Raw genomic sequence first — 21,934 nt, forward strand, 5'->3', positions numbered from 1 at the left:
AGTGTTAATTTATATGGCAGAAAAGAAGGACTTTGCAGATATGATTAAGTTAAAGATCTTGAGATAGAGAGATTATCCAGGTGGGCCCTAAATGCAATGACAAATGTCCTGATAACAGAGAGAGAAATTTGACACACAGAGACGAGGAGAGGGCCATGTGATGATGGAGGCAGAGACTGGAGTGAAAGGGCCACAAGCCAAGGAATGCCGGCAGCCACCAGAAGCCAGAAGAGACAAGAAACAGATTCTCCCCTAGAGCCTCTAGAAGGAATATGCCCCTACCAACACCTTGATTTCATCTCAGTGATAATGATTTCAGACTTCTGTCCTCCAGAACTGTGAGAAAATATATTTCTCTTGTTTTAAGCCACCAAATTTGTGGTAATTTGTTACAACAGCCTCAGGAAACGAACACAGTGATTTTCTAAAATTCAATCCTATCACAGATGGAAAAAATGATTTTCTCTGTCTCTGTGTCTCTGTCTCTATATATCTATCATTCCATCTATATATTTATGTATCTATATATGTATGTATGTATGTATGTATCTATCTATCTATCTATCTATGTGTGTGTATACCTGGAAGAAAAAAATACCAAAATATTAAAAATTATTTCTGGACAGTGGGATTATGATGATTTTTATTCTTCTGTGCATTTTCCAATTTTTCCCTCAAAGAGCATATATTACTTTTATAATCAGAAAAAGCAATATAAATTATTTTTTAAAACCCTTCAATGGCTCCCCATCACTGACAGATTAAAGTACAAACTTCTAAGCATAGCACAGGGCCTTAATTTTTTGGTCTTTGCCTATGTCTCTAGCCTAACTTCCTATCACTCAGCACCCCCACTTCTCTTCAGCCATGAAAAACTACCCAAAACATGTATCATTCTGCCTCTGACACTTTGCACATTGACCTTTTTGACTTCATCCTCTTGGTCAAGAACCAATTCAGATCAGGCAAGGTGGTTCATGCCTGTAATCCCAGCACTTTGGGAGGCTGAGGCAGGAGGATGGCTTGAGCTCAGGAGTTTAAGACCAGCCTGGGCAACATGGCAAAACCACGTTTCTACAAACAAACAAACAAATTAGCCGAGTGTGGTCGTGAGTGTCTGTAGTCCCAGCCACTTGGAGGCTGAGGTAGGAGGATTGCTTGAGCCCAGGAGGTCAAGGCTGCAGTGAATTGTGTTCATGCCACTGCTCTCCAGCCTGGGTGACAGCCAGATCTTGTGTCAAAATAAATAAATAAATATATAAACCAATTCAAGGGTGTTCTTTCCTGCGAAGCCATTCCTGATCTACTCAAGCAGATCCATGTTACCCTTTACTGCTACTGTACCTCCAATATGCTACTATTATTTTATTTGTGTAAGGTATTGCAATTATTGGTTTACATGAACATCTTTACACTTATTTGATTAACAACGTATAAATTCATTAAAATTTTATTGAATCCATAGTGGTTTTTTGTAATTATGGATTTTCTCACTCAGCAGATACTAAAAACTATCATGTGGCAATCTGTAAAATGTTTGATATTAAAAAGTAGTCCTGGCCAGGCACAGTGGCTCACGCTTGTAATCCTAGCACTTTAGGAGGCCGAGGTGGGCGGATCACTTGAGGTAGGAGCTTGCGACCAGCCTGGCCAACATGGTGAAACCCTGTCTGTACTAAAAATACAAAAGTTAGCCGGGCGTGGTGGCAGGTGCCTGTAGACCCAGCTACTCGGGAGGCTGAGGCAGGAGAATGGCGTGAACCCGGGAGGCGGAGCTTGCAGTGAGCTGAGATCGCGCCACTGCACTCCAGCCTGGGCGACAGAGCAAGACTCTGTCTCAAAAAAAAAAAATTGGCTGGGCATAGGCACGGTGGCAGGCACCTGTAATCCCAGCTACTCGGGAACTGAGGCAGGAGAATCGCTTGAACCTGGGAGGCAGAGGCTGCAGCGAGCCGAGATCACACCACTGCACTCCAGTCTGGGCGACAGAGCGAGACTCCGTCCCGCCGCCAAAAAAAAAGTGGTCCTCCACTGGGTGCCCTGGCTCATGCCTGTAATCCCAGCACTTTGCCAAGTGGAGGCGGGATTCCTTACACCCAGGAGTTTAAGACCAGTTTGGGCAATATGGTGAAACCCTGTCTCTACAAAACATACAAACCCACCGTGGGCGTAGTTGTGCACTCCTGTAGTCCCAGCTACTGAGGAAGCTGAGGTGGGAGAATCGCTAGAACCTGAAAGGCAGAGGTTGCAGTGAGCTGTGTTTGTGCCACTGCACTCCAGCCTGGGTGACAGAGCAAGACTGTCTCTAAGTAAATAAATATAAACAGTACATACATAGAAAATAGAAACGCAAGAAAGTGGTCATAATTGCTATCTCTAGAGAATGAATGGGGGGGAGACTTTTTTTTTGAGACGGAGTCTCACTCATTGCCCAGGCTGGAGTGCAGTGGCGCAATCTTGGCTCACTGCTAGCTCCGCCTCCTGGGTTCACACCGTTCTCCTGCCTCAGCCTCCCGAGTAGCTGGGACTACAGGCACCCGCCACCACGCCGGCTAATTTTTTTTTTGTATTTTTAGTAGAGACGGGGTTTCACCATGTTAGCTAGGATGGTCTCGATCTCCTAACCTCGTGATCCTCCCGCCTCGGCCTCCCAAAGTGCTAGGATTACAGGCGTGAGCCACCACACCCGGCCAAGACTTTTCTCTTTATACTGTTGGGTATTGTTTGATTTTTCTTTTTTTTTCTATGAGTAAGTATTAGTTTTCTTCTTCTTCTTTTTAATTGAGACGGGGTCTCACTCTGTCACGCAGGCTGGAGTGCAGTGGCGCGATCTCCACTCATTGCAGCCTCTGCTTCCCGAGCTCAAGCTATCCTCCCACCTTAACCTTAACCTCCTGAGTAGGTGGGACTACAGGGACACTCCACCACGACAGGCTAATTTTTGCTTTTTTTCGGAGATGGAGTTTCGCCATGTTACCCAGGCTGGTCTCGAACTCCTAGGCTTAAGCGATCCTCCCGTCTCGGCCTCTCAAAGTACTGGGATTATAGGCATGAGCACTGCACCTAGCCGGAATTAAAAATTCAGGTTCTCAGTTGCATTAGTCATATTTCAATGGCCACTTATAGTTAGTAGCTGCCATATTGAACACAGCAGACATAGGACCTTTCCATCATTGCACACAGTTCTATTGAACAGCCCAAGTCTAGATCATTGTGTCCCCACATAAGGTGGTGCCCATTGGGATACCCTGCAACCCTGAGTGTGAATTAATTAATGGGAATTAACAACACATACTTATCAATTGATCCTTGTAGTCCTTGGTTAACCACGGGGGCGGGGCGAGTTAGGCATTACTGAAACAATGAAGGTTAGTTACTGATAGGCCTCCTATGGAATATACAGTCTGATCTAGAGGCCTACAATATATCCATGGCAATGATGACACCTGTTGAATCTCTCAGTAAATCATAGGAACAATAGTGATGTTTGGACTGCTAGGTTTTCTGGTTACCATGGAAATGAGGGTGCTGGTTACAATTCTGTGTAATCACGCAGAGCCTAAGGTATGATGCACCCCCTCCTCCCCCACCCCGTCTGTAACCATGACCAAAGAGTTGACTATTTCAGTTGCGTTTCCCGAGTAGCCCCAGCAACAGGAGAAGCATCTAGAAATATGATTAAGTATGGGGTGTCAGGATGCAAGCCCTAACAAGGAAGTGTGAAAAAAGAAACATGGCGGGGCATTTTTTTCAGTAGGAAAAGGCCAAATCTATTCCATTGAATACAATGACATTGTTACTCTTGCTTCTTGCACAGGCGCAGTGCAGGACTGCTCCGAGCACGCCTACGCGCGCATTTTCTCCCCTTCCTCTCCCTCTTTCCACTTTCCTCTCCCTTTTTCTCCTCTCCTTTCCCCCTCCCACCACTTGGTCTTTCAGTCTTTCAGTCAGTTCGTTTAGGTCTCTCCTTCCGACCCCCACCCCCAGCTCCTCTCCCTTTCCTTTTCCCCCTCCCCCTTTCCTTTCCCGTCTCACGCGCCAGGCCGCTTGCACATGCGCATTAGGTACAAAGCCTCGCTCTTTGTCCCCATCTGTCGTTCACACGAACTCAAGCCTTTGGCATTCGGCAGCCAATAGAATCTAAGAAATGGCGGAAAAATGATTCCGCCTCGGGAGCTAAACCTTGATTGGCAGTTTAGCTAACCAATCGAGAACGCCATTTTGTACCCCTTGGCAGGCACCGAGCTCCGTCGTCTCGTTTCCGGCGGTCGCGCGCTCTTTTCTCGGGACGGGAGAGGCCGTGTAGCGTCGCCGTTACTCCGAGGAGATACCAGTCGGTAGAGGGTGAGTTTTGGGACGTCTTGGTTCTTGTTTGGGAGGGTAGTGGGATTTCTTGGAACAATCAGCGAAGGAAGAGGCTAGGGCGAAGCTAGGTTTGGAGGGTGGATGGCGCTTCCGAGGCCCCTTGAGGCCTTGTCTCTGCCGCCACACTGCCTTCTCAGCCCACCCGCGGGGGGCCACCTTTCTCAACTCGCTTCGCTTCGGGCTTTCCCCATTTTCGTTCCTGCCCTGTTTCTTTGTGCAACTCATCTCCGAATCTTACCCGTGTCAGTAAGTTGCCGGCCTCTGAGCCGCCCTGGGCCCGACGGTGTGGGGTCTATTATGAGAGATCGCTGAAGTCGTGGTTGGTTAGAGGAGGAGGCGCTTTGTCGGGCGCTCCTCCTCTCGGCCCCGCGAGGCCATTAATTCAGAATGGGCAAGTGGGGCCCCTCAAGCGATATTTCTTTGTCAAAACTCTTAGCTGGAAAGTTCCTCTGCATATCCAGAGCCCGCCGCTTTCGTAGTCAGATTTCTGTATGCCCTTTTTCTAAAGTCCTAACCGCCTAGCTCCTTGACGCATTTATATAGCATCACTTTTTAAAATGAAACTTAAATTTATGGATTTCGCATCGAGTATTTTATTTTCCAGTTTGAGAAACTCTTACCATAACCTGACACGTTTCTTTGTGTTTTTAACAGAGAAGTCGAGGTTAGAGGGAACTGGGAGGCACTTTGCTGTCTGCAATCGAAGTTGAGGTAGGTGTAAGGAAGGGATAGGGTTGCCAGACAAAACACCGGGCACCCAGTTGAATTAGAATTTCACCTACACAACCAATTATTTTTAAGTATATGTTGCATAGTTTTCAATTAAATTTCAAATTTAATTGTGGGTTGTGTATTTTATTTGCTAAATCTGGCAACTCTAGTGGGGGGGCCCTGGTTATATTTATACTGTGTCCTTGTCCACCTTCCTTGTTATTAAATGAAAAGTCCTAAGAAACTCTTAGAGAAGGACCTTAGTTCATTTTACAGCTTTCAGGCTGGCCATCCAGGCAGCCATCTCAGTCTTGTAAATTTATACCAGATTTAGATTTCAGATATGTGTGATGTAGTGTTTGGTCCTCTACCTAAACATTTGTTTAACTGTAGCATGCCCAGTGGTTAGAGTCTTTCTCAACCAGCAATACGTGTTTTCTCTCAAAATTCTTCATCAGGATTATTAGTCTCAGGGACACAAGTAGACAGTAATCTTTGCTGCTGATCTTCGTGCTGTGTTCTCTTTTCAGAGGCCCAGTATTTAGGCGACAGTGAATTTATTACTCTGAAGAGGGTTCTGCACATATTTCCAAATTATATTGGTGGTCATCAGAAGTAGGTGATAGGAAGAAATACTTCTCAAGGTACTTGCTACTTGGTGGGCACTGTTATAGGTGCTTTATTATGATAGTCTTCACTAGTGCATTCCATCCTGGGCCTCTCCGGGGCCAGGGGAAGAGAGATGTTTAACACCTGGAACCCAAGTAGGAAAAGATTTGATTCTGATGCCCACCTTGCCCCATCCCCAACTATTTCCAGGGTGGACTTTAGATTTTGTATGTTTTAACTTCCTGCTTTTATATCTTATTTTTTAAAACACTATTTTCTTTTTTTGTTGTTTTTTTTTAAAGGTATCTCATTTGCCATGAAACTGCTACACCTGCTCATGGCGTTTAAAATCCTTACAACTTTTTGAGAAAACGACGTTGCACTATGTGGCAAGAGTCACAGGATAGATTCTATTTTTAAGAATTTATCCTATGGAAATAATTAAATGGAAATAAAGCTGAAAGCCAGAAGACATTTACTGCAGCGTTATAATAGGAAAAGCCAAAAACAACCACCTAAATGTCTTATAGTAGGGAGTAGTTTAGTAAAGTAGTACATCCTGGTGAACTTTATATAGTCATTAAAAATTACAATTATGTTGACATTAGCAGAAATGAGGAAACTCTGAATATACAAGGGTGCATTATCAGTTACTGAAATGATAATGTATGTCTAAATAAGCAAGAATGGAAAATTGTGGGAGGAATATTTAATCATGGATATGTCCAAAGATTTAGCTATGAGCATTGATTATAATGGTGAAAAATTAGAAACGACCCAGGTGTCCAACACAATAGGGACTTGGTTGACAACTGAATGCTGTGTCCGTTAACGTAAAAGATTTAATGACATGAAAGCTGTTTATGATACATCATAAAGTGGAAAAAACAGGTTACAAAATAGTATTTATCATATCTCATTTCAAATACATAAATTAATGACTAGAAGGATATACCAACATGTTAACAGTGACTATTTTTAGTGGCAGGTCTATGGATTTTTATATTTGTATTTTTATTTATTTTGGTTTTTCTAAATTTTCTATAATACATTTTGTAATAAGTATCTGATTGTAATTTCTGTTTAAAAATTTTTAAATAAAATTTTAAGTTGTAATTTCTGATACCTTATAACATTAATGAGAAACAAAATTGATTAAATGATATAAATGTGAAAATTTAAATCTTGGCTGAAATGTCAGATGTTGTGAGGTTTACCATCTGCCTCCTTCTCCCTATCCACTTTGCCTTCCTCCCCCATTTTTATTTATTTTCCCATAGCACTTACCTCTTAAGTACTATATAATTTACTTATATATATTGTCTCTCACTAGAAGCAAGTTCTGTAGGCAAGAATCTGCTTTGTTCACTAATCCACTGTAACCATCTAGAATAGTGCCTAGCAAATGGTAGGCATTCACTGAATATTTTTTGAATGAAATCGTGAATTGAAAAATTATCAGTAACCTAAAAGCAATGCAGTTGTTTTCATTTTTGCCTACCTTCTGTTCCCTTGTCTATATTCACATCTTTAAAATTAGAAAAAACCTTTCCCCGTTAGAATATCAGACATACTCGTGTTTATGTGGTCTTCATAATTTTTAAGGCTGTGAACATTCTGTTGTATAGATGTACCGTACTTTCATGAAAACCATTCCCCTAATTTTGGAAATTTAAGTCATTTTTATTGTTTTCTTACCATAAAGGCCATTACAATGAACACTTTCACGGGTGTAGTTTTTAATTTTAAAATTATTAGGATAAATTTCCAGGAGTAGAATTTCCAAATTAAAGACTATGAATTAACATCTTGATAGCTCTTGTTACTTTTTTTCTTACTAAACTTTTGGATACAGAATTTGGTAATTGCATTAATGTTTTCAGTTTTGGTGGGATGTGACATTAAACAGATTAGGAATGTTTTTATACACTTGAAAGTATTCCCGTATACTCATCATCAAAATCAATAGTTACCAAGCCTTTGTCGCATTTCTTTCATCTGAGAAATATAATTTTCTGTGTTTATAATTATTTTTTGAGACAGACTCTCACTTTGTTGCCCAGGCTGGAGTGCAGCGGCACTGTCTTGGCCTACTGCAACCTCCGCCTCTCAGGTTCAAGTGATGCTCCTGCCTCAGCCTCCTGAGTAGCTGGGATTACAGATGCCCACCACCATGCCCAGCTAATTTTTGTGTTTTCGGTAGAGACGGGTTTTCACCATGTTGGTCAGGCTGGTCTTGAACTCCTGACCTCAAGCAATCCACCCTCCTCGGCCTCCCAAAGTGCTGGGATTACCAGTGTGAGCCACCACGCCTGGCCTATTCATTTATTTTTGAGACCAAGTCTCACTCTGCCGCCTAGGCTGGAGTGCAATGGCAGCATCTCTGCTCACTGCAATCTCGTCCTCCTTGGTTCAAGCAATTCTCCTGCCTCAGCCTCCCAAGTAGCTGGGACTACAGGTGCAAGCTACCACACCCGGCTAATTTTTTTGTATTTTTAGTAGAGACAGGGTTTCACCATGTTGGCCAGGCTGGTCTCGAACTCCTGACCTCAGGTGATCTGGCCTGCCTTAGTCCCCCAAAGTGCTGGGATTACAGGCATGAACCACTGCACCCAGCCTATTTTTTTCTCTATTTTTTTTGAGACAGGGTCTCATTCTGTTGCCTAGGCTGGAGTGCAGTGTTATGATTTGCCTCACTGTAACCTCCTCTTCGTGGGTTCAAGTGATTCTCCAGCCTCAGCCTCCCAAGTAGCTGGGACTACAGGCATGAGCCACTGCACCTGGCCTCCCCTCCCCCCTACCCTTTTTTTTTTTTTTTTTTTTAAATAAAGACCGAGTCTTGCTATGTTGCCCAGGCTGGTCTCAAACTCCTGGGGTCAAGCCATCTTCCTGCCTCAGCCTCCCAAAGTGCTGAGATTACAGGCCTGAGCCACCATGCTGGCTTCATTTTTTTTTTTTTTTTTTTATTTCAACGTTTGGGAGCACAGAGCACTTGTTTTCTTTTTAATCTTATGTTGATTTTTAAATGATAGAATTTAACATTTTATTATTTTTATCTTTTTTTTTTTTTTTTTTTTTCTTGAGACAGGGTCTCATTCTCCCTGCCCAGGCTGGAATACAATGGCGTGATCACAGCTCACTGCAGCCTCAGCCTCTCAAGTAGCTGGGACTACATGAGTGTGCTATCATGCCTGTCTAATTTTTTTAATACATATTTTTTGTAGAGGTGGGGCTCACTATGTTGCCCAGGCTGGTCTCTAACTACTGGGCCCAAGCAGTCCTCCTGCCTAGACCTCCCAGATTGCTGGGATTACAGATGTGAGCCACTGTGCCCAGCCTATTTATCTTTTCTTTTTTTTTTGAGATGGAGTTTCACTCTTGTGCAATGGCACAATCTCGGCTCACGGCAACCTCCGCCTCCCAGGTTCAAGTGATTCTCCTGGCTCAGCCTCCTGAGTAACTGGGATTACAGGCATGTGCCACCACACCCCGCTAATTTTTGTATTTTTAGTAGAGATGGGGTTTCACCATGTTGGTCAGGCTGTTCTTGCACTCCTGACCTCAGCTAATCCACTGGCCTCAGCCTCCTGAAGTGCTGGGATTACAGGCATGAGCCATCTCGCCTGGCCTATCTTTTTATGTTTGCTTTTATTGCTTTAGTAGTCATTTGTCTTTCCACTGTAATTAATAAATATTTAGAGTGTGTACTGTATGCCAGTAGTGAGCCAGCATTTTCACATGTTTATTCTCATAGCCACTTTGAGAGACAGGTATTTTTATCATCCCCTTTAGAACAGCTGAAGAAACAGGTACAGAGTAATTTACTAGTAAGTAGTACACAATTGAGGAACACAATTCAAACCTAAGGATGCCTAACCTCACAGCCCATACTAGTACCACTGTTATTTCCACGGTATGTACTGTGGGCTAGGATTGGTAGGTACCAGAGAAGATAAGACTTTACTAGTCTTTGTCCTTGTGATAACCAGAATCTATTTCGATCATTTTGTTTTTAAAATATGCTTAAATGTGTGATGGGGCGAGTTTTTAAGAGTAGATTTTTTGGAAAAGTAGTTTTCTATTAATGTGTAGTATTGAACTGGGAAGTTCCTTAAGCGATTCTAGTGCAAACAGTTCTCATCCAGTACTCATTTAGTTTTTATGTGCAGTATAACTGCTGATGCCTCGTTGTTTTTAATTTTATTATTTTTTAAATTTTTTAAAATTTTTTATTTTATTTTATTTTCGAGACAGAGTCTAGCTCTGTTGCCCAGGCTAGAGTGCAGTGGCGCAATCTCGGCTCACTGCCAGCTCCGCCTCCTGAGTTCACGCCATTCTCTTGCCTCAGCCTCCCGAATAGCCAGGACTACAGGCGCCTGCCACCACGCCCGGCTAATTTTTTGTATTTTTAGTAGAGACGGGGTTTCACCATGTTAGGCAGGATGGTCTTGATCTCCTGACCTCGTGATCTGCCTGCCTCAGCCTCCCAAAGTGCTGGGATTACAGGTGTGAGCCACTGTGCCTGGCCAGATTTTTATTTTTATTTTTTATTTTTTTGAGATAGAGTCTTTCTTGGTTGCCCAGGCTGGAGTGCAGTGGCACAGTCATGGCTTATTACAGCCTCTAACTCGTGGGCTCAAGTGAACCTCCAGCTCCAGCCTCCTGAGTAGCTGGGACTACGGCACCACTATGCCTGGGTAGTGTTTTTTTGTTTTGTTTTGTTTTTTGGAGACGGAGTCTCACTCTGTCACCAGGCTGGAGTACAGTGGCACGATCTCAGCTCACTGCAACCTCCACCTCCCAGGTTCAAGCCATTCCCCTGTCTCAGCCTCCCAAGTAGCTGGGATTACAGGCGCCCGCTACCATTCCTGGGTAGTTGTATTTTTAGTATAGATGTGGTTTCACCATGTTGGCCAGGCTTGTCTCGAACCCCTGACCTGGTGATCCACCCACCTTGGCCTCCCAAAGTGCTAGGATTACAGTCTTGAGCCACACGCCCAACCTGCCTGGGTCATTTTTAAATGTTGTTGTAGAGATGGGGGTCTCACGGTGTTGTCTAGGCTGGTCTTGAACTCCTGGGCTCAAGTGATCCTCCCACCTCAGCCTCCCGAGTACCTAGAACCACAGGCGTGCGCCACCACACCCAGCTAATTTTTGTATTTTTTTGGTAGAGGTGAGGTTTCACCATGTTGCCCAGGCTGGTCTCAAACTCCTGGACTCCAGCAGTCCTCCCACCTCCGCCTCCCAAAGTGTTGGGATTACAGGCGTGAGCCACTGCACCCAGCCTTTTTATTTATTTTTTCTTTATTTTTTTCCTTTTTTGTTTGATTTTTACTATATTTTGTAACCTCCAGAACGCAAGATTTTTTTTAACATAGTTTCCATATGCAGCACTGATAGATTTTTGAATTGTTCTTCTTTGTCATGGTTGTTCAAAGTAACAAATTGTTTGCCTCTGACAAAAGCCAGAGCACTTAAGGTGATGAATTACATATAAGTCATCAGGAAGGTGGCTGATTGTGTTATTAGTACTGAATTTATTTATTAGTCTACTTTTTCTTTGTAGGGTGCAAAAATGCAGAGTAATAAAACTTTTAACTTGGAGAAGCAAAACCATACTCCAAGAAAGCATCATCAACATCACCACCAGCAGCAGCACCACCAGCAGCAACAGCAGCAGCCGCCACCACCGCCAATACCTGCAAATGGGCAACAGGCCAGCAGCCAAAGTGTGTATATGCTAGGTGATGGAGTAGAAATGGATTCCCTCTGGGAATGGTTTCTTGGTTTTTAGATTAGTTTCTCGGGCTTATAAGGGAATAGGCCTTTATGGCACACCTTTGTTCTTTTTTCTCTTTACCTCTTAATACTTACGATGGAAAAGGCTGATTCTCCGGAACCAAGGAGCAAACATGTATGACAGCAGTTGAGTACAGGTTGCTCTGCTGTGTTGACACATTCTACTGTTAAACAGATGTCTGCATGTTTTACCTCAGCTTGGTTCTTAGAGGTAGTCATCAGATGACTGGTAGTTAAAAATAATATAGAAAAGTCTTTAAGGCTTAAATGGAGAAGTCTGGTACTGAATACTGTACTTTTAGCCTTGAGCCTGTACCAGCTCATTGTAAAAAGTCTTTAAGTATATGTTCCTGTTTGAGTACCAATTGTGTGCCTCTAAGACTAGAACCAATCCCAACTTTGTTTATTTCCAGAGATTACTATAAAGAGTTGCTCTTTCCTAACTCATTTCATTCTGTTGCCCCCAGCCTGAAAGAATGGGAACTGTTAAGGTTATGAAAATTGGTGAGAGATTAGGAAAATGGAACAGTTACTTTGTTTTTTGTTTTTTTTTTTGTTTGTTTATTCTCATCTGAAGGTACGTTTTGAATGTTAAAATCTGATGCCTTGTAACATAGGGCTGCTTCCTTGAATTGCTTAATTTTTCTCTTTGGCCGGTAACGCCTATATTTTTCTTTCTCTTGCTTAGTCCAGCTTGGCTTCTGGCCCGTCGTAGAGCTGTTCAGATGTCCTCTGCATACTGCTTTCACATTCTAAGGCACAATTTACTCATAAGTGGTTAGGTTGCCTTGGGAAATGGTGTTTACATTCTCTACAACAATTAATGTTTCCTCATTTATCAGTGGTTATAGGTCTTTGAGGATACGACTATAATTCTATTTCCCCAGTCTTTTAAGTGACTGTGTGTCTTCTCTCAGATGAAGGCTTGACTATTGACCTGAAGAATTTTAGAAAACCAGGAGAGAAGACCTTCACCCAACGAAGCCGTCTTTTTGTGGGAAATCTTCCTCCCGACATCACTGAGGAAGAAATGAGGAAACTATTTGAGAAATATGGAAAGGCAGGCGAAGTCTTCATTCATAAGGATAAAGGATTTGGCTTTATCCGCTTGGTGAGCAACTGTTGGCTTTTGAGGCATGTGCTCTAAAGGTGGGGAAGCTGGAGAATAATAGATGTGCAAAAATAGGCAGTGGAAATAATTCTCAGATGATGTGTTCCTTGAAAGCTTGATGAAACAGAACCACAAAAATGGCACATTTTAATTTTTCCTCATAAGTTTTGTTTCAAGGATAACAAGTTTTTTGCCTAGGATACTGGAGCTAAAGTATGCCCTTTGGAACTTTTTTTTTTTTTGAGACGGAGTATCACTCTTGTGGCCCAGGCTGGCGTGCAGTGGCATGGTCTCGGCTCACTGCAACCTCCACCTCCCGGGTTCAAGTGATTCTCCTGCCTCAGCCTCCTGAGTAGCTGGGATTACAGGTGTCTGTCACCACACCCGGCTAATTTTTGTATTTTTGGTAGAGACGGGGTTTCACTGTTTTGGCCAGGCTGGTCTCGAGCTCCTGACCTCAGGAGATCCACCCACCTTGGCCTCCCAAAGTATTGGGGTTACAGATGTGAGCCACTGCACCTGGCTGGAACTTTTTTGTTTTAATTAGGAAATTTCAAACATATAGAAGTAGACAGAATAATAATGAACCTGCACATATGCATTGCATAGCTTCAGTAATTATCAAGTTGTGGTTAATTTTGTTTTATCTGTACCCTTTCCCTATTTTGTCCCCCCATGATCAAGAGATGGGTATCTCACCATGTTGCCTTGGCTAGACTTGAATTCCTGAGCTTAAGCAATTCTCTGTCCTCAGCCTCCTGAGTAGCTGGGACAAAGGCAACGCACCACGGTGCCTGGTTTATTTGTATCTTTAAAAAACTATTTTAAATTGAATTAACCAGGCATGGTATACGTCTGTAGTCTAACTACTCAACTAGGCTAAGCTGATAGGGCTGATTGAGCCTAGGAGTTTGAGGTTACAGTGAGCTATGCTCATAGCACTGCACTTCAGCCTGGGTGATAGAGTGAGACCCAGTCTCTTAAAAAAAAACTAATGATGGTAAAACATACATAACATAAAATTTACTATCTTAACCGTTTGTAAGTGTAGACATTATTTTAAAATCTGGTTCGATTTAGGGAAAGTATATGAGAGGAAAACATTTCTAGACATTATCTACCTCCATAAATGGAAGAGAATAATGTGACAGCAGGATCACTGGATGGGGTGGTCAGAACTGATTTTCATTCCAATCTGCCAAGTCATTTTTCTCTGGGTATCAGGTTTCTCTTTAGTAATATGAAAGGGATCCTGTCAAGGTTCCTGGTTCCAAAGAGGCTTCTTGGAGGATATTCGTGATTCTGGTACATACCTAGCAAAAATTAGACTGAGCATGGTGGCTCATGCCTGTAATCCCAGCACTTTTTGGGAGGCCAAGGTGGGCGGATCACTTGAGGTCAGGAGTTTGAGACCAGCCTGGCCAACATGGTTAAACCCCGTCTCTATTAAAACTACAAAAATTAGCTGGACATGGTGGTAAGCGCCTGTAATCCCACCTGCTCAGGAGGCTGAGGCAGGAGAATCGCCTGAACCTGGGAAGCAGAGGTTGCAGTGAGCTGAGATTGCTCCACTGCACTCCAGTCTGGGCAACACAGCAAGACTCCGTCTCGAAAAAAAAAACTAAAATATTCTAGGTGGTTTTAGGGTGGTCTTTGAGTTTTTGTTTTCGTTTTTTTGAGACGGAGTTTTGCTTTGTTGCCCATGCTGGAGTGCGGTGGCGTGATCTTGGCTCACTGCAACCTCCGCCTCCCGGGTTCAGGCAGTTCTCCTGCCTCAGCCTCTGGAGTAGCTGGAACTACCAGTGCGTGCCACTGCGCCTGGCTAATTTTTTGTATTTTAGTAGAGACCAGGTTTCACCCTGTTGGCCAGGATGATCTCGATCTCCTGACCTCGTTATCCACCCGCCTCGGCCTCCCAAAATTCTGGGATTACAGGCGTGAGCCACCGTACCCGGCCAATGGTCTTTGTTTTCTGGATGATCTGTTGTCATTGGGAGAATAATACCTATGAAATTGATGATCACCTAAGTGTTATTGACTTCTAGAACTACATGTGATTTATTGCAAGGCCATCAGAAGCAAACTAGGGTGGCCAAAGAGCTGAAGCACACAGTTAAGTTCTTTCACTTCTGTTTCTTTGTATGGTTGTTTAGTTTTTCCGGGGAGATATTGAACTATACTGCTTTAGACTGTTGATGGCTGCTAAGGTGTTCTTTGTCAAACTGAGTTATTCTGATTTTCCTCTGCTTCCTAGGAAACCCGAACCCTAGCGGAGATTGCCAAAGTGGAGCTGGACAATATGCCACTCCGTGGAAAGCAGCTGCGTGTGCGCTTTGCCTGCCATAGTGCATCCCTTACAGTTCGAAACCTTCCTCAGTATGTGTCCAACGAACTGCTGGAAGAAGCCTTTTCTGTGTTTGGCCAGGTAGAGAGGGCTGTAGTCATTGTGGATGATCGAGGAAGGCCCTCAGGAAAAGGCATTGTTGAGTTCTCAGGGAAGCCAGCTGCTCGGAAAGCTCTGGACAGATGCAGTGAAGGCTCCTTCCTGCTAACCACGTAAGTGAGGGTCATTTTCAGACGTAGACCTTAGATTGCTAATTCCTTCCATGGTCTGGAGAGTTAGCCTCTAGTAACCACTTTTCTATGTTTAAAGACTTTTGGTCAGCCTGGCATGGTGGCTGACTCCTGTAATCCCAGCACTTTGGGAGGCCGGGGCAGGCGGATCACCTGAGGTCAGGAGTTGGAGACCAGCCTGACCAACATGGTGAAACCCTGTCTCTACTAAAAATACAAAAAATTAGCCAAACATGGTGGCGTGTGCCTGTATTCCCAGCTACTTGGGAGGCTGAGGCAGGAGAATCGCTTGAACCCAGGAGGCAGAGGTTGCAGCGAGCTGAGATCACGCCACTGCACTCCAGCCTGGGCAACAGAGTGAAACTGCCTCAAAAAAATAAATAAAAGACTGGGCAAAACAGCGGCTCACGCCTGTAATCCCAGCAATTTGGGAGGCCGAGGCGGGCAGATCATGAGTTGAGGAGATCAAGACCATCCTGGCCAACATGCTGAAAGCCCGTCTCTACTAAAAATACAAATAAATAAAATAAAAATACCAAAATTAGCGCACATGTAGTCCCAGCAACTTGGGAGGCTGAGGCAGGAGAATCACTTGAACCTGGAAGGCAGAGGTTGCAGTGAGCCGAGATTGTGCCATTGCACTCCAGCCTGGCGATAGAGCAAGACTCTGTCTCAAAAAAAAAAAAAAAAAAAAGACTTTTGGCCCAGGCGGGACAGATCACCAGGTCAGGAGATCGAGACCATCCTGGCTAACACGGTGAAACCCCGTCTCTACTAAAAAATACAACAAATTAGCCGGGTGTGGTGGCGGGCGCCTGTTGTCCCAGCTACTCTGGAGGCTGAGGCAGGAGAATGGCGTGAACCTGGGAGGTGGAGCTTGCAGTGAGCCGAGATTGCGCCACTGCACTCCAGCCTGGGCAAGAGAACAAGACTCCGTCTCCAAAAAAAAAGACTTTTGGTATTAGCCTGGGCATGGTGGCTCATGCCTGTAATACCAACACTTCAGGAGGCTGAGGCGGGTGAATCACGAGGTCCTGAGTTTGAGACCAGCCTGGCCAAGGTGGTGAAACCCCGTCTCTACTAAAAATACAAAAAGTAGCTGGACGCGGTGGTGGGCGCCTGTGATCCCAGCTACTCGGGAGGCTGAGGCAGGAGAATCACTTGAACCCGGGAGGCAGAGGTTGCAGTGAGCCGACATTGCACCACTGCACTCTAGCCTGGGCGACAGAGGAAGACTCCGTTTCCAAAAAAAAAGACTTTTGGTACTAAGCTTTCTCGTATGATTTTTCTGTAATCTTATATTAATAGACGTGGGATGACGATTATGAAAAATAACTTTTTAGTCATTCGGTAGGTTGTCATGTAGTCAGTGTTAAGTCTCTCTTTACTTTGAAGATTTAGAGTTCTGAAAAGTTGATTTGTGCCTGCAGTATCTCTTAGTGTTTACCACAAGTCATTTCTCAGAGTGTCTGTAGATGTTTAGGCTGTACTTAAGTACTGCACCTACCTACTTGGAATATCTTTTTGAGACTGTATTCAGAGATCTAAGTCCTGATTTCGTCCTGTCAACCCCAGATTTTCTTTTTTCTTTTTCTTTTCTTTTTTTTTTTTTTTTTGAGACAGTCTCACTCTGTAGCCCGGGCTAGAGTGGTGCAGTGGCACAATCTCGGCTCATTTCAACCTCTGTCTCCCGGGTCCAAGTGATTCTCCTGCCTCAGCCTCCCAAGTAGCTGGGATTACAGACGTCCGTAGAGTCAGGGTTTCACCATGTTGGCCAGGCTTGTCTTGAACTCCTGACCTCATGATTCACCCGCCTCGTCCTCCCAAAGTGCTGGGATTACAGGCGTGAGCCACCACCCCCAGCCCAACCCCAAATTTTTTATAATGTCATTAGGTATAAAAACTTCAGAAGCCTCCAATCCTGAGCCCTAGCTAATTCATTGTGCCAGTGACATGTGTAGAGAAGAAGCCTGGTGGGGTATGATTTGATTAACACTGAACTTTGTTCTTTCTTCCAGATTTCCTCGTCCTGTGACTGTGGAGCCCATGGACCAGTTAGATGATGAAGAGGGACTTCCAGAGAAGCTGGTTATAAAAAACCAGCAATTTCACAAGTATGCAGTCTTGATAGATTTCCCTATTAGGTGTTTCCTTCTTAAGAAAGCTTATAAAGGGATATGTAAAAGAGGCAGGTCTTTGCTGCACATGTTCACTGGCAGCCATTATCTTGGTCCTCACAAGGAATGCAATTCTTAGCTGGGGTAATTCTGGACAAAGTTAGTAACCTAGGAACCTTGCCTATAGGGAACGAGAGCAGCCACCCAGATTTGCACAGCCTGGCTCCTTTGAGTATGAATATGCCATGCGCTGGAAGGCACTCATTGAGATGGAGAAGCAGCAGCAGGACCAAGTGGACCGCAACATCAAGGAGGCTCGTGAGAAGCTGGAGATGGAGATGGAAGCTGCACGCCATGAGCACCAGGTCATGCTAATGAGACAGGGTGAGTCTAGGCCTGTAAGTCTTAAAGCTGAAAGGACAAAATGACATTTTTAAATGGGTTTCTTTGTATCAATTAACAGAAGGGCCTACATCTCTGCTTTTATACTTAGTTTGCGTTGATTTTGGTAGATAAATAGGCTTGGAGATGTGGCAGAGATACTGGATTCTGTGGAGAAGGAAATGATAGGTATAACTTCATTTTGGAATCTGGACACCACAGGTGGTTCCAAAGGAATTAGATCCTCTTTGCTTTCTGGATCTTTATTTGAAGAAAGTCATTAGATCTATATGAAGACAATGAGGAATATTCTTAGTCTGTTGTTTTTTTAGATTTGATGAGGCGCCAAGAAGAACTTCGGAGGATGGAAGAGCTGCACAACCAAGAGGTGCAAAAACGAAAGCAACTGGAGCTCAGGTAACTTTTCTCGAACACTTTTTCCCTAACAACTCTAAAAGGTAATGTCTCACTCCTCTTTCCTACTGCCATGCTACCTCGTGTATTTATAAATGTGTTGGCAAATATTTCCTGGCTGCTTCTCAGGTTCTTTCTTTGGATTGGAGATGTTTTAGCTGCCCATGGTCCTAGAAGTTACCTGCTAAAAAGAAAGCAGCTGAATGCTGGTCTCATGAGGTTTCTTTGGGGGTTGCCTCAGGGCTGGGCACACTTAACAGTGAGTTTCCTGGTGAACTGATAGTTTTCAGTAGGCCAGTCTCCTTGGTTGAGTCTCCTGTTAATCTGCTCAAGTTCTGAAATGCCTCTGTCTTAAATACATTGGTGACTCTCTGTAGGCAGGAGGAAGAGCGCAGGCGCCGTGAAGAAGAGATGCGGCGGCAGCAAGAAGAAATGATGCGGCGACAGCAGGAAGGATTCAAGGGAACCTTCCCTGATGCGGTATATCTCCCATGTGCCCGTGATGTACCAGACCAGTCCTGATAAACTCACCATGAATTGTCTGCTAGGTTACCGGTTATGACCAATTTTCCCGTGTTGTGAAATAACCCTTTAGAAAAAAGAATTCATAAGAAGGAGAGGTAAGGTTTGAAGAGGAGATCTTGCCTCACAAGCAATATAGGATGAAAAACTGGGTCTGCTGTATTCTGTTTAGACTCAGTGACTATAGGAAGAGATATGCAACCTTGGCTAGTCCTCTGCTGTCCTTGCAATTGTACAAGTTGGAGCTTCAGAAGCAATCTCTTCCCCCTTTCACCTCTCTGTTGCTAATAGGAGGCTCTGGCTTACGTCCTAGTAGCTCTGTGACCTTGAATTTGTTGCACAACTAGCAAGGGTTGTGCTCCTCAGCTTTCTCAGTGCTGTTTGGACGTGTTATCACTCTATCTACTTCCCTTAGTGTGTGGTCCTTGATGGATTGTGGTAGAATGCACTGCTGTCTTGGACTGTCTTGAGTATTTTTTGTTTTTCAGAGAGAGCAGGAGATTCGGATGGGTCAGATGGCTATGGGAGGTAAGGACTTAGGAGGTTAATGGCTCTGATTTCCTTTTTTGTTTGGTCTTGGGTGAACTATGTAGCTTCTGCTGCCTACTTTAAGGGGGTGACATATATGTCTTACTTAGCCCAGAGGTCTTGTTGAATTGTTTCCTTTGGCATAGAAAGAGACTAACAATCTTTATCCCTTGTGCTGATCACACTACTCTGCCTTAGGTGCTATGGGCATAAACAACAGAGGTGCCATGCCCCCTGCTCCTGTGCCAGCTGGTACCCCAGCTCCTCCAGGACCTGCCACTATGATGCCGGATGGAACTTTGGGATTGGTAATAAAACTGCAGTGCCTTAACAGTAATTCTAAATGGTGGTAGGAGGAGAACAGGCATTGCTTTCACAGCCCCTGGGGGCCTACCTCAGTTTGCTATAGATAGCAGTCTTTTTTTTTTTGGAGACAGAGTTTCCCTCTTGTTGCCCAGGCTAGAGTGCAATGGCATGGTCTTGGCTCACTGCAACCTCCACCTCCCGGGTTCAAGCGAGTCTCCTGCCTCAGCCTCCCGAGTAGCTGGGACTACAGGTGCTTGCCACCATGCCCGGCTAATTTTTGTATTTTTAGTAGAGATGGGGTTACACCATGTTGGCCAGGCTGGTCTCGAACTCCTGACCTCAGGTGATCCACCAGCCTCGGCCTCCCAATTTTGTATTTTTATTAGAGACTGAGTTTGACCACGTTGGTCAGGCTGTTCTTGAACTCCTGACCTCAGATAATCTGCCCGCCTCGGTTTCCCAAAGTGCTGGGATTACTGGCGTGAGCCACCAAGCCCGGCCCAGATAGCAATCTTTAGGACTGCTGGTATCCATTAAATGTAACCTCAAGGTCTTTATTTTTGAATCTTGAGCAAACTCAGTCTCTATACTTAATCTAGGAGTTAAGTAAATGCCACCGTCTGACTGGCCAGTCTGATTGACTATGTTTGTTGGAGGGAAGTCAATGAAGGCTAGGCATTATCACATAAAATAGTTGTGAATCCAAATACTTCATGGCTCATGCAATCCTGGGGTTGTTTTGGTTATGGTGTTAAAATGCCAAAACTGGATAGTTTGGTTGTTTCTGTTTTTGTTTTTCTTTTTTTCTTTTTCTTTTTGAGACAGAGTTTTGCTCTTGTCGCCCAGGCTGGAGTGCAGTGGTGCAATCTTGGCTCCCTGCAACCTCCGCCTCCCAGGTTCAAGCGATTCTCCTGCCTCAGCCTCCTGAGTAGCTGGGATTACAGGCATGCGCCACCACTTTTGGGGTTATCCACTAGAGTTCTAAACAGACTTAGTCACCCACTCCTACCTACCATCAGGAGCCTTGAATAGTTGAATGGAAATAGCCTCCAGTGGAGGGACTACAGATGGGTGGGAAGCTTCCAACAATGGCTCTGTTACAGTGTTGCTCTCTTTTTCTCTTTAAGACCCCACCAACAACTGAACGCTTTGGTCAGGCTGCTACAATGGAAGGAATTGGGGCAATTGGTGGAACTCCTCCTGCATTCAACCGTGCAGCTCCTGGAGCTGAATTTGCCCCAAACAAACGTCGCCGATACTAATAAGTTGCAGTGTCTAGTTTCTCAAAACCCTTAAAAGAAGGACCCTTTTTGGACTAGCCAGAATTCTACCCTGGAAAAGTGTTAGGGATTCCTTCCAATAGTTAGATCTACCCTGCCTGTACTACTCTAGGGAGTATGCTGGAGGCAGAGGGCAAGGGAGGGGTGGTATTAAACAAGTCAATTCTGTGTGGTATATTGTTTAATCAGTTCTGTGTGGTGCATTCCTGAAGTCTCTAATGTGACTGTTGAGGGCCTGGGGAAACCATGGCAAAGTGGATCCAGTTAGAGCCCATTAATCTTGATCATTCCGGTTTTTTTTTTTTTTGTCCATCTTGTTTCATTTGCTTGCCCCGCCCCCGAGACGGAGTCTTACTCTGTCGCCCAGGCTGGAGTGTAGTGGCATGATCTCGGCTCACTGCAATCTCTGCCTCCCGGGTTCAAGCTTGTCCAGGTTGATCTTGAACTCCTGACCTCGTGATCTACCCACCTCGGCCTCCCAAAATGCTGGGATTACAGGGGTGAGCCACCGTGCCCAACCTCACTTGCTTCTTATCCTTACACTCCCCCAGCCCCAGAGAAACTGCCACATACACCACAAAAACCAAACATCCCCCAATGACCTTAGCCCCATTGCTCCATTCACTCCCAGGTGAGAATTCAGGCAAACGTCCACAAAGGTCACAGGCAGCGTACATACGGTTCTGTTATACCCCATATATTACCCCTTCATGTCCTAAAGAAGACATTTTCTCTTAGAGATTTTCATTTTAGTGTATCTTTAAAAAAAAATCTTGTGTTAACTTGCCTCCATCTTTTTCTTGGGTGAGGACACCCAGGAATGACCCTTTTGTGTCTATGATGTTGCTGTTCACAGCTTTTCTTGATAGGCCTAGTACAATCTTGGGAACAGGGTTACTGTATACTGAAGGTCTGACAGTAGCTCTTAGACTCGCCTATCTTAGGTAGTCATGCTGTGCATTTTTTTTTTCATTGGTGTACTGTGTTTGATTTGTCTCATATATTTGGAGTTTTTCTGAAAAATGGAGCAGTAATGCAGCATCAACCTATTAAAATACATTTTAAGCCTTTTAATTTTCTGTGGTGTTTTTGAAGGGGAAAGGAGGGAGGGGAGTTATCTTAGGAGATGAGCAGTAGACTCTATAAAGGTAATCCTTTATGACCTTTGGATTACAGTATTGATCTAGACAAACATGGGGAGGAGGTGGGGATGAGGT

General features: G+C 44.2%; 1 protein-coding gene across 4 annotated transcripts; it reads left to right on the forward strand.

The window, feature by feature from the left end:
• Window positions 4,258–21,791, forward strand: NONO (non-POU domain containing octamer binding). Of its 4 annotated transcripts, NM_001145408.2 has the most exons (13): window positions 4,258–4,344; window positions 5,020–5,076; window positions 5,607–5,720; window positions 11,252–11,414; window positions 12,402–12,595; window positions 14,850–15,151; window positions 17,188–17,283; window positions 17,474–17,670; window positions 18,000–18,084; window positions 18,459–18,561; window positions 19,092–19,131; window positions 19,330–19,439; window positions 20,565–21,791. In NM_001145408.2, exons 4-13 carry the CDS (start codon window positions 11,261–11,263, stop codon window positions 20,697–20,699), a joined length of 1,416 nt encoding a protein of 471 aa, NP_001138880.1. In that variant the 5' UTR covers window positions 4,258–4,344; window positions 5,020–5,076; window positions 5,607–5,720; window positions 11,252–11,260; the 3' UTR covers window positions 20,700–21,791. The 4 variants fall into 4 exon arrangements, with proteins under 4 accessions (NP_001138880.1, NP_031389.3, NP_001138881.1 ...); NM_007363.5 differs by lacking the exon at window positions 5,607–5,720; NM_001145409.2 differs by lacking the exons at window positions 5,020–5,076; window positions 5,607–5,720.

Source organism: Homo sapiens, chromosome X (assembly GCF_000001405.40).
Source record: "Homo sapiens chromosome X, GRCh38.p14 Primary Assembly".
In the NCBI taxonomy this organism is placed as follows: domain Eukaryota; kingdom Metazoa; phylum Chordata; class Mammalia; order Primates; family Hominidae; genus Homo; species Homo sapiens.

Bases quoted from the DNA above. Each gene is read 5' to 3' on its own strand.
- NONO (NM_001145408.2), top strand. From the start codon at position 11,261: ATGCAGAGTAATAAAACTTTTAACTTGGAGAAGCAAAACCATACTCCA. The intron at 12,596-14,849 runs GTGAGCAACTGT...TCTGCTTCCTAG, and splicing joins GATTTGGCTTTATCCGCTTG to GAAACCCGAACCCTAGCGGA. The intron at 18,562-19,091 runs GTATATCTCCCA...TTTGTTTTTCAG, and splicing joins AGGGAACCTTCCCTGATGCG to AGAGAGCAGGAGATTCGGAT.